A 17,251-nucleotide genomic window follows, 5' to 3' on the forward strand; every position below is an offset into this window, starting at 1 on the left:
AAATAATCAATGAATGGTGACTTTTGGATGTAATAGGGCAATCAATTTTATTCCCAATTGTAGTTATTTTTTTCCTAAAATTAAACAATGATGCTTTATTAATGATAGGGTGTGTACATGAGTACGAGTATTTGTATATATAATATCGTTTGTGTAGATATACATATATTTTAAAATAACACACAATATTTTATCACTGGTTTTTACCTAATTTAGATTATGAATGAACAGGATGAACTATTACTTTTTTTTAAAGATAACATCAACTTGAATTTTTAATTTGATTTTCCTTCTTATATATGTCATTAAAATTTTCAAAAAATGTAGCACCTATAAATTTCTAGAATTACATGTAGGAATAGTTCAGATTTTTATTGCTTCCACACACAACTTTATTTCCTAGTTTTATCTTAACAGAAAAAGCTAATCCTGTATACTGCAGACAGGACAGAATCAACATTCTATTGCTTGTGTTTTAAGTTTAGAGTTTTAGGCTTTTGGCTCCTAATAGGCATAAAGGTCTTCTCCAAACCATGATTCAGGACCCAAGACTCTTTTCCGTTTGTGGTTCCACCAAAAGTGTTACTTCTTAAGTTTGATTTCTAGAATTGGAACATTAAATATATGTATGAGTATTTAACCTTGGAACAGCACTTAAGTATAGTAAAATTTTCCTTTCAACATAGAATACCAAAAAGTGTGGGTGAATCAAGGCTTACATTTTATAAGAAGCCAAGGAAAATTAATAAAGTTTACTTTAACATTATATACTTACAAAGTTTCACAGTACATTTTCCTTAAAATATAAAATACACAAAAATACAATAATACATATTTCATAAAGATTATTTAACTCATAATAGAAAATGGAGGTACCAAACTATTAAAAACTTAATATAATCTCCTTTAATAATAGTCTCTTCGAAAATCAGAAGTTCCGTGATAATTTATACTGTTAGTAAAATGTATGAGTTCTCTTAGATTGTTAAATAGTTCAAAGATTTTCTATTGGCTTCTCACTTCTACATTAATGGCTTCTCAGTTTGGAACCACTGACTTAGGATTTGGATCAGTAAATTCAGAAAATTGGAAAAGATATAAAGTGAATAATGGGATTGTAAAAGTCCATCACTTCTCTTGATCATTGTCTGTGGTGTACACAATTTCAGAGAGAATCTGTCAAGATATTTTACAAAAAGAAATGGAGTTTTCTTCTAAAGGGAGGTGAAATTTGGAGCTGGTGAGTTCCTAGTGGGTAACTGTGGGGCACCATAGTGTAATCAAATCTCTCCCATCAGTTTTGTATCTTTGGATTTATCATTTAACCTTTATGAGATTCAGGTTTTTACTCTGTAAATTAAAGGATATGAGCTCATCCTTCTTTCAATTCCTTTCCAAAACAAATATTCTCCAATTCTTTGGTTGTTATAATCAGGTCCTCTACCTCCCTATGCATCTTCACTTTTAGAATCAAAGGAAAGATGACCCATGGTTTTCATATTTTTAACATCACTAAAATTCAGACACACCCATTTTTTTTGAATTAATAGAGACTGGGGTAATTGGAGCATAGGAGCCTTAGGTTCTTGTGAAATGGCAAGTGTTAAAAATCATTGTCATATTTTCCAGAAGACAAGATCATTTACTTTATCTATAAAGTGTTTCCTGACAGGATGATTTCTAATAAGGAAACAACTGAGCTGGAACACATTCTTCTTGAAAACTAATGCCAATTATTAAACTGGCTCACAATGCTTCCTGCATGCTTTTATTACACAGATTTATGAAAGATCTAATTATCTGTCAAATAATGAAAAATTAGTCACTTAGAGATTAATTAATCAATATGTGCAAATCACACTGGAGATGATAAACGTTTTCAGGAAGAGAAAGAATGGAAACTACCTAATGGATACTTACTGCTTACCTTGGCTTTCAGAATTCTCTTATGACAGTTTCTTGAACCCGTACAATGAGGCCTCTGGGAGTGTTATGGCCAACAGCTTTCAATAATCATCTGTAATCAATTCATCGCCTCCAAATATTTTCACCCACATCTTAGTTCTTTTCATTTCTTTCCTTCCCATGTTTATCATGCCCTTAAACTAAATTCTGTACTCATTTATGCCATTTTCTGGTACTTACATCAATTAAACATACCATGTGGCCGTCTCAGGCCCTTTACATGACAAAGCCAGCTTGACTCTGCCTTTGTCAAAGCCAAATCACAATCTTACTTATTCACATTGTTTAAATCCACCAGTGTGCTTAAAGTGCTCTTGGTAATTAGCTGCATAGGAAAATAAACAGATAGGCACCATTTCAGGTTAAATGTCCAAAACAATTATCTTTCCAAACAATATTTCAGATATGTAAAGTTGCAGAAAATTCTTAAATATCTCTCACAAACTTTGCAAAGGCAGGAGCTTACTTAGCTATAGAAGCTGAAGATCACTAAGAAAATATCAATAATCCAGAAAATCTTCCCACATCCACTGATGCATCTTTGAAGTCTGCTATCTAAAGTTATTTCTTTACTTTTCCAATTAACATTTCTTGAATGCCTACCATGTGCCAAGCATGATTTTAGATAATTGGGAATTATTGGTGTACAGAAGAGATAAAGATCCCAGCCAGCCCTTAAGATGCTTACATTCTAGCAAGAGAATATGGACAATTAAACATAAATTTAATAAATAGGTGGATTATATAAAATATTAGAAGGTTGATGAAAGATATGGCAGAACAGAGTAACAGGGAGAAGCATTGTAGGGCTGAGCATAATGGGTATGTTGCCATTTTTTTTTTTTTTTTTTTTGAGACAGAGTTTTGCTCTTGTCACCCAGGCTGGAGTGCAATGGCACAATCTCGGCTCACTGCAACCTCCACCTCCTGGGTTCAAGCGATTCTCCTGCCTCAGCCTCCCAAGTAGCTAGGATTACAGATGCCTGTCACCACGCCTGGCTAATTTTTGTATTTTTAGTAGAGACGGGGCTTCACCATATTGGCCAGGCTTGTCTTGAACTCCTGACCTGAGGAGGTCCACCTGCCTCAGCCTCCCAAAGTGTTGGGATTACAGGCATGAGCCACTGTGCCCCTCCTGCCATATTATATAGATTGGTCAGAGTAGGCCTCATTGAGAAGATGAGATTTGAGCAAAAATATGGATAAAAGAATGAGTTAACAAATAAATCAATGTGATAGGATGTTCCAAGTAAAGGGTATAGCTAGAGAAAAATGTAAGGTAAGAAAAGCTAATGGGTATGAGGGATAGACACAAGGCCAGTTGGTAGCCTCTGAGCAAGCAAAGGAAATGTACTATAATAGTAAATGAATTCAGAGAAGTAGCACGTGGTAAGATTATGTCAAATCCTGAAGCCATTTTAAGGACTTTGGCTTTTCCTTTGAGTGAAATGGATGAGAGGTAAGTCATTGCTGGGTCTTTAGTGAAGGAACGTGGTTTTATGCTTTAAAATATTCACAATAGCTGCTATATTGAGAAAAGACTACAGGGAGCCAAAGGTAGAAACAGAAGCCTGTAAGGAGGCTGCTTCAGCAGTAAAGCTAGCTGTAATGTTACCTCGGACCCATAGGAGAGCATTGGCAGTGGTGATAAGTGCCCAGTTTCTGGATGTATTTTAGATAGCAGCAGGAGACAGACAAATCTTTAGGCAGACAGGGATGGTAAAACCCAACCTTCACACCAAAGACAGTTTAAAGCTGAAAACCCATCTACAAGTCTCAGATAAATCCACAGACCGGATTGGGAACCCCTCTTCCCATGTGAGGTGCTTTCCTCTGGTTGATCCCCAGCCTTCACCTATTTTACACATTCCTACCCTTCCCTAATTGGTTTTTTACACTGTTGCGCCCATCTTTGAGTGGTGCCTTTTTTTTAGCCTTTTTGCGTCCTAACAAACCAATCAGCACATACCCCCCCATTCTGAGCCCATAAAAACGCTGGACTCAGTCAGAGCAGGGGATTGCCCACCTTCGGGTGGTGGGGGAGGAACTACCTGACTTTGGGTAAGGGGGCTGCCCAACTTGGGTCTCCCTCTTTGCTGAGAGCTGTTTCTTCACTCACTAAAACCCTTCACCTTGCTCACCCACTGACTGTCAGTGTAACCTCATTCTCCTTGGATGTGGGACAAAAACTTGGGACCTGCCAAACAGTGAGTGTGAATAGAGCTGTAGCCCTGTAGCACTCCCTTCCCACTCACCAAGCAACAGGAAAAGTAGCTGCTTGGCTCCACATGCCCCCTTTAGTCAGGCTGTCGATGGTGGAACTAAAAGAGCTGTTAACACACCCCTATTCACCTGGAGTCTCCAAGTTTTCAGGCACCACCATGTCCCCTTTGTCTGGACATTGGAGTCACTTGTGACATGCCTGGTCCAGCCACAAGCCCCACATGGAGCCCGCACCTATGCCAGCAATTGGAACAGCCAGCTGGACCCCATGCTCACTCGCTCACACATCCCCTCACTCTGCGGGCTGAGTGCGCAGTCACAGTGGCCACAGGATCCAGGCCAGGTGGCAAGGCAAATGCAGCCCAACAGGCTGAATGGGCAGGGTACCTCCTGCCACAAGCCCAGGGCGAGCAAGGCCCAGGCAGGAGCATTGCCAGCCACAGAGGTCTCCAACTGGCAAAACGCACAGAAAAAAAATCCTGTGTCATTTTGAAGGCAGTGTCTATATTATTTCCTGAGGAACTGGATGTGGGCTATGAAAAGGCCGAAGAAAAACGGAATCAAATGTGACTCTCAGTTTCTTAGTCTGAGCAACAGAAAGGATGAAGTGCAGTGTGGAAGACTGAGACTATAGAAAGAGTTTGAGGTGGAGGGAGTCGAGGCATTGAATTTTCAACATGCTAAACCTGATATGTATATTAGAAAATCAAGTGGAGATGCTGAATTGGCAATTGGAATATACATATCTGAAGTTCAGATGACAGATCTTTGCTAGAGATGTAAATAAATAAATGGGTAAGACAAATGGGTATCATTACAATATAGATGGAATTTAAAGCCACATGAGTAGATAACATTATCAAGAGAAGAAATGTAAATACAGACAAAAAGATGATCAAAGACTGACTACTTGGACCTTCCAAAATTAAGAGATCGAAAAGAAGAGAAACCAGTTCACAAGACTGAGGAGTAACCAATAAAATGAAATAGATTGCAGGATCCTGGAAGCCAAGTGATGAAAGTATAGCAAGAAGAAGAGAGTGTCGATTATACCAAATCCTACTGATCGATTCAATAAGATGAAGACTAAGAATTACCACAAATGTATGTTATTAAATAAATGGCATGTAGTCACAGAAGATATAGCATATTAATTGCTTCCAATTATTTGTTTCTTGGTATTAATTAAAATCATAAGAGAGAATTTGAAAGGGAGCCAGAACATATTGTGTAAAAATAAGTTATTTAGGCTAAGGGAAGAGTATGGTAACCAGACCTCAGAGTCAGAAATGCCACTGATATTTCATACACATTCTTCTCTAACAATCAGACCTTGGGCAATTCACTTAATATCTCTAATTTTTATCTCCAAAATATGAGGTGGGACTCCTAAGGTACCTGCACCTCAACATTTCCATGATTTGAAGATAACACCCATAGTCCTACCACTCAATAACATTATTCACTCCTTTATTTTAATACACAGATTTCAAAATAAGAATTGCATATGTGCAGTCTTAGTCTCTTGGTATTTTAAGCAAAGGAAATTGAGCAAGAAGAAATGTGACTGACAAACTCATGCCTATTTCCCATCAGTTGTTCACCTTTAGGGGACATACAACTTTTGAGTTATGATTAAACATTAAATGTTCCAGGGCTACACATTTATGCAAAAATGGTAGCTTACTTATTTCTTTGTGAATAAATTGCACTTTCTCATATGCCTCTAGCTTTTTGTTATCAAGAAAAACAGCCCTAATATTTAATCTAAAATGGCAAATTTCATCTGTGTGATACTTTGAATAGTGAATGTGGGTGCACGTTCAATGTCATCATACTTTTATTGGGTTAAGTATTTGACTCTCAGATTTCTGGCCATCCTCCTCCTTTCTTTCCAAGAAGGCAATTGGTAGAGAGATGTGTGTGTGTGTGGTTAATGAACTACCTTGGCAACAGGAAGGTCACCACTGTGTCCTTAGATCAAGATATTGCCTGCATTTTGGCTGATCTTGACTATGGAATAGCAATTCTTGGCAATTCTGGACATTGAATATATGAGGTGTCAATGACCAGCATATGGGCATTTATCAGTGTTAGCTGCCAAGATAAGCCACTGATTTAATTTATGATCTTTTCTCTGTCTTACTTAGGTCAGAGCCAAACTGACCAGTTTGGTCAGAGAAACCTTTCATGATGATTTAGCCTCACCTTTACTCTCACGGGAGCTGAAGACTCCCCCAAAGGTCTAGCTGTGTCTCCCACATAGTTCAAATCAATGTGGTCTATCCTGTAGCCCTTGGCTGCTGGAACACTGTCCCTGCCATGGTCATAAACAACTCAATCTGGCAAGCTTCCCCACAGGTTCTCAGCTAGATTGCAAGTTCCTCCATCAGGAACCGGTAAGAAATTTGGGATCCCATTCATACTATTTAGGGACTGAGGTTTATTCAAGGAAGTTGTGTTTAAGACCTCTCTGTGCCCTCTTGCTGTCTCACTGGATTCACTGCACTGTGGCTATTCCCAGTATCCTAAAAGATGACAGGACTAGGCACAGTGGCTCATGCCTGTAACCCCAACATTTTGAGAGGCTGAGACGGAAGAATCACTTGAGGCCAGGAGTTCAAGACCAGCCTTGTCAACATGGCGAGATCCTCTTTTTGAGAAAAAAAAAAAATTAGCCACGCATAGTGGCACACGCCTGCAGTCCAAGCTACTCGGGAGGCTGAGGCAGGAGGATTGCTTGAGTCCAGGAGGTCAAGGTTACAGTGAACTATGATCATGCCACTGCATTCTAACCTGTGGAATGGAGCAAGGCCCTGTCTCAAAAAAAGAAAAATGGTAGAAGCAGAAGCTACTGTACTTTCAGTGTTCTCTTAACATAGTTGGAGCAAGGAGAAAGCCTCCCCTCCATATCTTGACCCAAAAGAAACAGTTAATTAGACTGATAACATGCCTCCCTACCTCCTTCTCCCCACTGGCCCTCATAACCCTCAGGAATCAATGGACCCTGCATTGGTTAGCGCCCCTTCCCTCCTGTTTGAAATGATCAACTGGACCATGTCTGTTCTCTAAATGATAATGGAGTGAGAGTTAAACAGATTTACAAAATATTCTCACTGCACAAAGTCTGAGCTTCATTACTATTTTGTTGTTGTATAAATCCTATTGTGCAAGTCAGAGATGGACTTTCTCTGCATTTTTGCTCTAACAATGTTAACACTCATTTCTAACACCCACTGCCATGGTCAGGCAGTGGATACTCAGTTTGATAAGGGAGAAGATACTGCACAGAGACTTGGAAAACTGAAAAATGCCTAAATGTCTTTCAAACATTACCAGTGCTGCAAAGAAAAGGTAAAATAAAATAATGCACATTTTAAGACAAAACCTTATACACTATCTTCTAAAGTATTCATGAAATCAGGAAATGAACACTTACTCCAGATAATAAAAGAAGTTCCTTAGGAACAATCAGAATGTTTTTCAAGGATTTCAGTCTCACTAATCCAATATGAGTTGCTGACTAAGAACATTTACATGGAAAACCTGTGCTTACTTTACAGGGGACCAGAGAGGAAGGATATACAGACCCTGCGATGGCTGCTCAGGATGCAATGGTAACTAGAACCAGTTCTCAGACTGACTGCAAAGAACCTGGGTTAAAATGGGCTGGAGTGGTTCTGATGCTACTTCTCTGCTGGCTAATGTTCCAGGTCCTATGGGAAGCCTGTCAGCAGAAGACGGGGGAGCACAAAACCATGCTGCAAATGATCCTGTGCAACAAGAGCTACCAGCAGCTGCGGCTGGGTAATTATTAACTGGGTTTCGTTCCAGCTACTTGACCAATTATATAACAAAAAGAAGGTGGTTAACTAGAAACAAAAATGAAATATTACAAGGAAATAGCGGAAAGTCAGTTATCTCAAAGGTACTTATTTTGAATTTTGTTTATAAGATGTGCCTTATTTAATGACATTACTAAGGAATAAATATTTCCTTAATATTTTTTCCAATAACTTTCAAAAACTGAGCATTTTAAAAATAATCTCTGTATTTGATGGAGTACTTATTCAAATATATTAGCTGTTTCCTATTAGGTATATTATATGTTGTCTTGCAAAATGCATAGTAAATATAGTTTAACCAGTCAATACTGCATCAAGGCCATTAGTATTGATGTCATGATTTCTGCAATATCGACGGAATCTTATTGGTCTTAGAGGGTGCACTCATGTTAGTTTGCCCTTTGTTTGACATTCCCTAAACTACAGTGTCTTTTTCTTTTATTAAAAAAAATTTTGTTTTTTTCTATATAAAGTACGCAAATGGCTGAAAATTTTCAACAGATGGCCTACCCTACCCCAATCCCACATCTAGACTTTACAAGTCAATAAGAGACATTACCTGTCTTAATGATAATCATAATAATAATAATGAAAAGACATCTTCTTGCTTCTAATTTTCAGTAAGAATGGATGAGAACTAAAGTTGCCTGGGGTAGTCAGATAACTAAGTTCGTGAAATAAAGAATCTTAATTTAACACAATTCTAAATTAGTAAACCCTAGTCTACACCCAAAAAGTTGATTTCATATTTCTCAGAATATTCTTTATAGATACTTTGCTATTTTAATCATCACAGAGAGGACTTTTACACTTAATTCTCATATTTAAGCTCTAGTAGGAAGTTTGCTGCTGACATAAGCCTATTATATATGTCCTAAATAACTGGTCCATAAATAATGGCTTGTTGTGTGCTTCCTCTCAATTTAAATCAGCAGTGAGTTAGTGGGTCCCACTGGAGGTGGCATTTGTTCCCCAGGAGAAGAGAATAATAACAGGTCTTTGAAGTTCAAGATTTATGCTGACTCTACTAAGAGTATTTGTATTTGTTTCAATGGTATTTATAGCAAACAGAATTGATAACAGTAGTACTTTTAATTATTTTATGGAAAATATGGATTTTTACTATGTGTAACAATCTAATATTTGTATTATAATATTTTCAAAATCTCCTTTGAATTACATCAATTTGTTAAAGTTTTCCAGGAATTTCAAAATATTTCTGGGCAAGATATGGTAGATGCCATTAATGAATGTTATGATGGATACTTTCAGGAGCTGCTGGTTGCAATTGGTAAGTAATAAATTATTTGAAGCACAACAGACATTTTATTTCTCTATAAATGCTGAGTGGCTCTGATTGAACTAAAGATGCATGAGTAAGCTCTTGATCGAGTCATTTTCCCTTGAATTTAATTTTTTAAAAGGACATTAACTCCATAGGGGAAGAGTACATCAGCTACTGATAAAATGCACTAAACTGGCAACCTGATAACTTTAATGAACTGATACCCTTCCCTAACAGCTAGTTCAACTTTCATACCAGAAAACACATCATTCTCAGATATTTTCTCTTTGAATTGGCTTCTCACACTGTTCAATCCATTTTATCTTTACTGACTTCCATTCCCTTGTCCAAGAGCCGATAAATACTTAACAGTATGGTTTTCTTCTCTTTAGGAGGAAAAGGATATTTTAGTGACCATTACTAATAAATTTTGGTTTAGGAGTAAATCCTACCATAAAAGAGATTTACCAAGTAGTGATTTTCCTCAGGCTATTGTGATAGTGGCACACCTCTTGCTCCTTCCTAAGTAAGAAATGATATCCCTCCATAGAGGACAAAACGGGGCGAGTTATCCAGAAAAACTGCAATAGAACTACCTGTGCAATAGAACTACCTTTGTCTTGTACTGTGCTGGTGAATTGACAGCACACATTTCAGGGACGACCAAAGGGGATCATTATGAAATATCTCCATCGAAGGCGTAGTCAAGTAATCACTTAGATACTAGTTGAATAAATGAATATTGTGATTTTCCATCCTTGAATGGCAGAGGCATACACGGGCGTGAGAGCTGACAGATAAAGGAATTTTTGTAGCTTATCTAGTAAAGAAGTCTCAAGCTAGGCTTCCATGAAAACAGTTTGATGAAACCCCTAAAATAGTATGCAATAGATGACTATTAATAACTGTGTATTTTTTCTGAAAATGTTACATTTATTCCAGAAAATTCTCTACAAAATTTAATAACCATATATTACATCAAAATCCTTCATTTTATAAACAATGCCTAAGGAAACTAAGTAACTGCCTCCAAGCCTATCAGCTGATTAGCAGCAAAGTTATGACTAAAATTCATAATATCCGAATCTCAAGATAGCTTTCTTTCCACTATAGACCCCTGCCACAAAGCAGTGGGCATAAGAGAGGAAGTGGTGGACATTAGAAATGGCAGAAAACATTTCAACTGATTTATTCACTCAGCAGACATTTATTCAGCACCTACTGTTCTAGACACTGACTTAGGCACTGCAGATAGAACAATGAAACAACAAAAACAGCAAAAGTTCACTGCCTTCAAGGAGCTTTTAAGGAGTAGTGACTCAAGAGTGATTATGAAGATTTCGTGTATTAAAAATGAAAGAAAAGATGAGGGTATAATCTCACAATCTAAAATAATTACTTAAACTACCAGGGAAATACTGTTATGATTATTTCATTCTGGCTAGAAATTATAGCCTCTCATACATTACCTATTCATGTATTAATTTGTTAACCTCTTCAAATAAACACTACTGAATGTTTATGATCATCAACTGACTTCCAGCAAGGTAACTGTTGACCAGGCTCTAGGCTGTCCTACCACCTTAGCAGTTTTTATTAGATAACTTCTAGAACTAGTCTAGACCAGTTGTGGTCCATAGTTTCCCCTTAAGAGATTTCAGGTCTACTCACAAATCTATAAGTTACTAAAAATAGCATTCAAATAGATGAACAGATTACATGGGAGCTATATCAAATTCAATCCTACAATAATAATAATAATCTATAATAGTGTTAATAACCTAGGTCTCTTTGAAGCTCTATTAATTTAATATTCAGATAAAGATGATAAAGTTTTCACTTTGGGAGGCAGAGGCGGGCGGATCATGAGGTCAGGAGATCGAGACCATCCTGGCTAACACAGTGAAACCCCGTCTCTACTAAAAATACAAAAAGTTAGCCGGGCGTGGTGGCGGGCGCCTGTAGTCCCAGCTACTCGGGAGGCTGAGGCAGGAGAATGGCGTGAACCCGGGAGGCGGAGCTTGCAGTGAGCCGAGATTACGCCACTGGACTCCAGCCTGGGCGACAGAACGAGACTCCGTCTCAAAAAAAAAAAAAAAAAGAAGATGATAAAGTTTTCTTCATTAGGCTACATGAAGGAACTAACAAGAGTTCCAACAGATAGAAATAGACCAAGTGAAAATCTGCATGACTCATTATAATGTTGTTGCTTTATATTTTTTTCCTGTGGCTTATAGTGTTACCATTATTCTAAGTGTTGACCTTACAATACAATGTAAGAATTGTAACAGGAAAAGTGTTATTGTTTCTCAAATTCTGACGAAAATATATGTTTTCACTCTCAATGTTTCTTCTTCTCTCTCTGATTTCTCCTAGTTCTCTGTGTTCGAGACAAACCAGCCTATTTTGCTTATAGATTATATAGTGCAATTCATGTAAGTAAGACATATATTTTTAAAATTTCTCCAGAAATTGTGTCTGTTTTCTCAAAGGATTAATTTTACTTCCATCATTTAAATGTTCATTACCATTTTTGAACTTGTATGTACAAAGAAAATACACCCAAGTGAGAAAAACTGGTTTAGACACCAAAAATAAGACATATCAGATAAAAATAATGTTCTGCTTTCTGTATCAAATTTAGGGAACCATATTTGGGGTGTATCTCCCTGTGCACTTTAGAGATTATTTAATATCTGCAGAAACTGGTAAATTCAAATGTTTTTGTATGTTTCCAAAGACCCCCACATCAGACTTATGCAAGTACAAAACATATGGCATTAAGCAGAAAATGTCAAAATATTACAAACTCTCAGCAAGCAATTGCCACGTTCGTGAAGTTTCAATACACGAAATTATGTCAATGGATATTTTTGAACATTGTGCTATTTTCAAAAAGTATTTAAAGTGATAACTAGAAAACCATAAACTCTAAATCTATTTTTGTAATTAAATGGGAATGTTTTTCATACTTCAGTGTGTTATTCAGTCGCACATACTTTGGAGCATTAATTTTTTTTTTTTTTTTTTTTTTTTTTTTTTGAGATGGAGTCTTGCTCTGCTGCCCAGGCTGGAGTGCAGTGGCGCGATCTCGGCTCACTGCAAGCTCTGCCTCCCGGGTTCACGCCATTCTCCTGCCTCAGCCTCCCAAGTAGCTGGGACTACAGGTACCCGCCACCACACCCGGCTAATTTTGTTTTGTGTTTTTAGTAGAGACGGGGTTTCACTGTGTTACCCAGGATGGTCTCGATTTCCTGACTTCGTGATCCGCCCGCCTCGGCCTCCCAAAGTGCCGGGATTACAGGCGTGAGCCACCGCGCCCGGCCTGGAGCGTTCATTTTTTTAAAAAACAAACACTTAAGTGCATCATCACATAATGCACTCCTTATCCATATCTACATGAAACAAAAAAAGAAAGTCTCGGCCGCGCGCAGTGGCTCATGCCTGTAATCCCAGCACTTTGGGAGGCCGAGGCGGGTGGATCACGAGGTCAGGAGATCTAGACTGTCCTGGCTAACACGGTAAAACCCCGTCTCTACTAAAAATACAAAAAATTAGCCGGGCGTGGTTGCAGGCATCTGTAGTTCCAGCTACTCGGGAGGCTGAGGCAGGAGAATGGCCTGAACCCTGGAGGCGGAGCTTGCGTGAGCCGAGATCGCGCCACTGCACTCCGGCCTGGCGACAGAGCGAGACACCGTCTCGGAAAAAAAAAAAAAAAAAAAAGAAAAAAGAAAAGAAAAAGAAAGTCTCATAGAGATAATTATATACATGTCGTAGCCTTGAAAACTCAAAGAAAACGATTAAAAATAATCCAATAATACAGTAATTTTAATCATCAGTTTTATCCTCAAGGTAAATTTAACAGATATACTTCTTAAAAGTAGCCAGCATGCTGGGAAAATATGTTAATAGTCAGGAGTATGTTATTATATATCTTCTGCAGTGTATTTTCTCATTTATGCAAAGGAAGAACCTGGATAACCCCAGAACACAAAAGGAAGATCAATGCTCACAGTCTTGCTTCTCTCCTATTCTATTTTCTAGGAGAAACAGTTGATTTGGTTAAACATTTATTTGAAATAGTGTATTTGGAAATGCTATAGGATGATTTCAATTGTTTCCTTCTCAAAGAACCAACCACTACAACAACAGTATGAAGCTTCACTTGTGAATGATTATGGGAAAATAACTACAATTACCTTGATTCCAATTATGCACAAATTCAAGGCTACTTATTCTAATAGTACATGAAAACTGTATTTTTGCTGTGTATGTGTTATAAGGCAATAGGAAGATATGCGTATTCACAAATGGTTTGTAGGTACGGAGAAGGATTGTATATTCAAGTAATGTAATTTTTGATACCTGAAGACCTCAAATGTCAAATGTTTGTCAAAAAGCTGCTTTAATCACCCCTGAACCAAAGATATATTCTGTGTTCTCCTCCAGTGAACTCTAAAGTGAACGATCTACATTTTAAGTTTGAATACTTGTTAGATCATTCATTTTAACCACCTCAAATTATGAAAAGTTTATTAGTAATATACATTCAAAACATTGTCTTCAAAAATCAGATTCTGTTTTCTGGCCACTAGATGTCACGATTACTCTGTTTGGAAAGACAATTTGAAACTGATTTGTTAGGGTGCAGTATTTCTGGGGCTAGCATACAGACATTGATTTTGTATTTTTCTGCATTTGAATTTAAACCGGCAAATATTTGAATCACCTAGAATTCTAATTTTTTATAATTTATCAATGATGACAAGAAAATAAAATTAAAATGTTACTGCTGTCTTAGACAAATCAATGTCCATCTGACAGAGCTGAGAATGTCTTCCCCTCCAAGGAAGAATTCTTACCAGGAAGGACCACAGGATCAGATTTGCAGTTTATAATGCAGTGTGAGTGGGACGGTGTGAAGGTTAACAAGGCTAGAAAGGGGGAGCAACTATTGCAGAATCAGGGTGAAATGATAAGGGTCAGAGTCAAGGTCGTGGCACTGGAATAGAGAGCACAAGGCATTCAGAAAATAGAAGAGAATAATTCACTGTCAGCATGCGGTAAGGGAGAGGGAGAAGTGACAGAAATGACTCAGGATCTGAACCACAGCCTGTGTGGCCAGTGATGCCAGTGTTGGAAGAACTCAGGAAGAAGAGAAAATGACTACAGAAAAGGGGTGTGTCCACTTGGGACAGACTGACTTTTAGGATGCTGTCTTCTCATTTCTCCCACTTTTCTGTATCTTTTAGGACTTTGGTTTCCATAATAAAACTGTAATCAGGATTCTCATTGCCAGAAGTGAAATAGACCTGCTGACCATAAGGAAACGATACAAAGAGCGATATGGAAAATCCCTATTTCATGATATCAGAGTAAGTTTCCGACACATGATTTATTTGGACCCACATTTTCTCCTTTTTGAAACTGAGATAAAAGTTCTCATTCAAATAACTTCATGGCAGACTCTAAAAAGTTAACTATTCAGACAGGGATAACCTAGTTTTTTTCCTCTACACAGTCTTTAGAACATCGGCAGGTGCTAACTTAGAAAACCCTTTACCTCAGCTGGGCGTGGTGGCTAATGCCTGTAATCCCAGCACTTTGGGAGGCTGAGGCAGGCAGATCACGAGGTCAGGAGATCCAGACCAACCTGGCTAACACGGTGAAACCCCGTCTCTACTAAAAATACAAAAAATTAGCCAGGTGTGGTGGCACACGCCTGTAGTCCCAGCTACCCGGGAGGCTGAGGCAGGAGAATCGCTTGAACCCGGGAGGCGGAGCTTGCAGTGAGCTGAGATTGCGCCACTGCACTCCAGCCTGGGCAACAGAGTGAGACTCCATCTCAAAAAAAGAAAAAGAAAAAAAAAAGAGAACCCTTTACCTCAGCGACAGAACTTATTCCTCTTTGATGTGTTTTACCCAGAAGCATTGATGCAGTCATGCAAAATATTCATTCTCTATAATTGTGCTTAAAGAGCTAAATTCTGAAGTATGATCAGGCTCAGGAAAAATATATATTGCAAAAGGCTGCATTACTTTTGAAGAGGTTTCTTAAATCAGTTGAGCTGTCCTCTCATATTGTCATAGAAGGCAGGGCAGTCAGTCAAATATCATAAACTGCTAATTCGGAGGGACTTAATGTTCCTAGCTATATACAACTCTACATATCCTTATCCCTTTAGCCCTTGAAGGGCAAAGGAGCAATGATTCAGTACTGAACAAGCCAGTGTTTTCATTCTGATACTTTTAAACTTCATGCATTTTGATACAACCTAACAAAGAATCCTCAGAATATATAGGACCATTTACTAACTGAGAGCCTAGTGGAAAATAAAAATGCTTGGCACTGTGTTCAAAAAAGTTTCAAGAATTTCAGGATGGGGAGAGCAGAGCATTAAACCAAGCCAAGCACAGGGACATAAGAATAGAACTGAACTTATATTTTGTGCAGAACTAAAAGCTATTACCTTGTTCACGTTGTTTTCATCTGAAATTTGTAATTCCAAGAAGCAGTGTTTTAGTTTATTGAAAGAGTAATCTAGAAGCAATCTAAAGCCCAAGAGATCACATAATACAGAAGACTTTGTAGGCCTCTGGAGAGCTGAAATGGTTTCTAAGAGGAAGAGTTGATGGAGCAGTTAAGAGAAATCTTATTCCTTCATCTTTGATAAAACTCTCCTACAGCCACTTTCAAAACTCTAAACTCTTTTAGTGATGAGAAATGCATGGCATAATTCATTTTCTAAATGAATACATTAGTTCTTAGGCACTTATTATAATTAATCACAACCGACTCAAAGTCTGCTAATATGAAAATGTAATTAATGTAACTTTGCTATGTACATTTAAAGTACTGAATTATCATTACATGACTTTGTGCCAAAGCACCTTAATATGAAAGTTGATACTTAACAAAGAAACATTTTATAATATTTATTTACTACTATCATTGATTTTGGAAAATATAGAAATTATAGAAGACCATTACAAGAAAATTAAAACCTCCCTAATTTTCTACAGAAAATCATTAATAAACTTTTATTCTGCTATGGTGTGCATGTTTGTGTCTCCTGAAAATGTATCTGCTGAAATTCTAACCCCAAAGAAGTGATGATACTAGGAGGTGGGGTCTTTGTGAGGTGATTAGGTCATGAACGTGGAGCCCATGAATGGGATTAATGTCCTTATAAAATAGGCCAAAGAGAACACCTTTGTCCCTTCTGCCATGTGAGCTTAGAATGAGAAGAAGGCTGTCTACGAGAGACAGGCACTCAGCAGGCACCACATCTGCTTGATCTTGGCCTTGCCAGCCTCTAGAGCTGTTAGAAATAAATTCCTATTGTTTATAAGTCACCCAGTTTATGGTACTTTTGTCACAGCTGCCTGAACACACTAAGACAGGTACTTTCAGTCATTTTCTAAAGCTATATAAATAATAATATGTTTTGCTATGTAAAAGAGTATTTTTATTGAATCATGGTATTCTGCTGTATAAGCTATAAAGTACACAAACTACCTCACATTATTATACATTGCTTCTCAGTTTTTCACTATTATACATAATATTATGGTGTATATATTTTTAGCACAAAACTTTGTGCTTATCAATGATTGATAATAACTTTCTTAATATATATTTCTTGAGGTAGAATTACTACATTAATAATTATAAATATTTTTAAATCTTTTGAGACATATTAATTTGTTCTCCACATTCTACATTCATTTATAACAATAATAATAATAACATTAGGGTACATCTTCCTAAAGTTGAGGAGAATATTTAATTCTAAGGCAAGTTCTTATAAATACACATTCAGGTTCAACCGACTTTATGTAAACCACATACTACTGACTGTAACCAGAGCATTATTCTTCAACAACTTTCATTGGGAGCAGTACTTAGGGCATGTTAAACCTTTAGATGAGA

At 37.5% G+C, this 17,251-nt stretch overlaps 1 protein-coding gene and 1 long non-coding RNA gene across 5 annotated transcripts in view; one reads left to right on the forward strand and one right to left on the reverse strand.

The window, feature by feature from the left end:
- Positions 1-17,251, forward strand: part of ANXA10 (annexin A10) — a 95,200-nt gene that overhangs the window by 77,452 nt on the left and 497 nt on the right. For both annotated transcript variants that reach the window (XM_011531571.3, NM_007193.5), the window contains 5 exons: positions 7,752-7,805; positions 7,902-7,995; positions 9,229-9,324; positions 11,695-11,753; positions 14,571-14,693. In XM_011531571.3, the coding sequence (XP_011529873.1) occupies positions 7,752-7,805; positions 7,902-7,995; positions 9,229-9,324; positions 11,695-11,753; positions 14,571-14,693 (426 nt within the window). The remainder of the gene's footprint in view (positions 1-7,751; positions 7,806-7,901; positions 7,996-9,228; positions 9,325-11,694; positions 11,754-14,570; positions 14,694-17,251) is intronic.
- LOC105377524 (uncharacterized) overlaps positions 22-17,251 on the reverse strand; it is a 29,038-nt gene continuing 11,808 nt past the window's right edge. Inside the window, exons 3-4 of one of the 3 annotated variants that reach the window (XR_007058356.1) lie at positions 2,146-2,290; positions 22-602 (exon numbers count right to left, since the gene is read on the reverse strand). This is a non-coding gene — a long non-coding RNA (uncharacterized LOC105377524). Of the gene's footprint in view, positions 2,291-15,788; positions 17,179-17,251 lie in introns of those variants that run through there. The other 2 variants (XR_001741917.2, XR_939424.3) reach the window with 2 other exon arrangements.

This window comes from Homo sapiens, chromosome 4 (genome assembly GCF_000001405.40).
Source record: "Homo sapiens chromosome 4, GRCh38.p14 Primary Assembly".
NCBI lineage: Eukaryota > Metazoa > Chordata > Mammalia > Primates > Hominidae > Homo > Homo sapiens.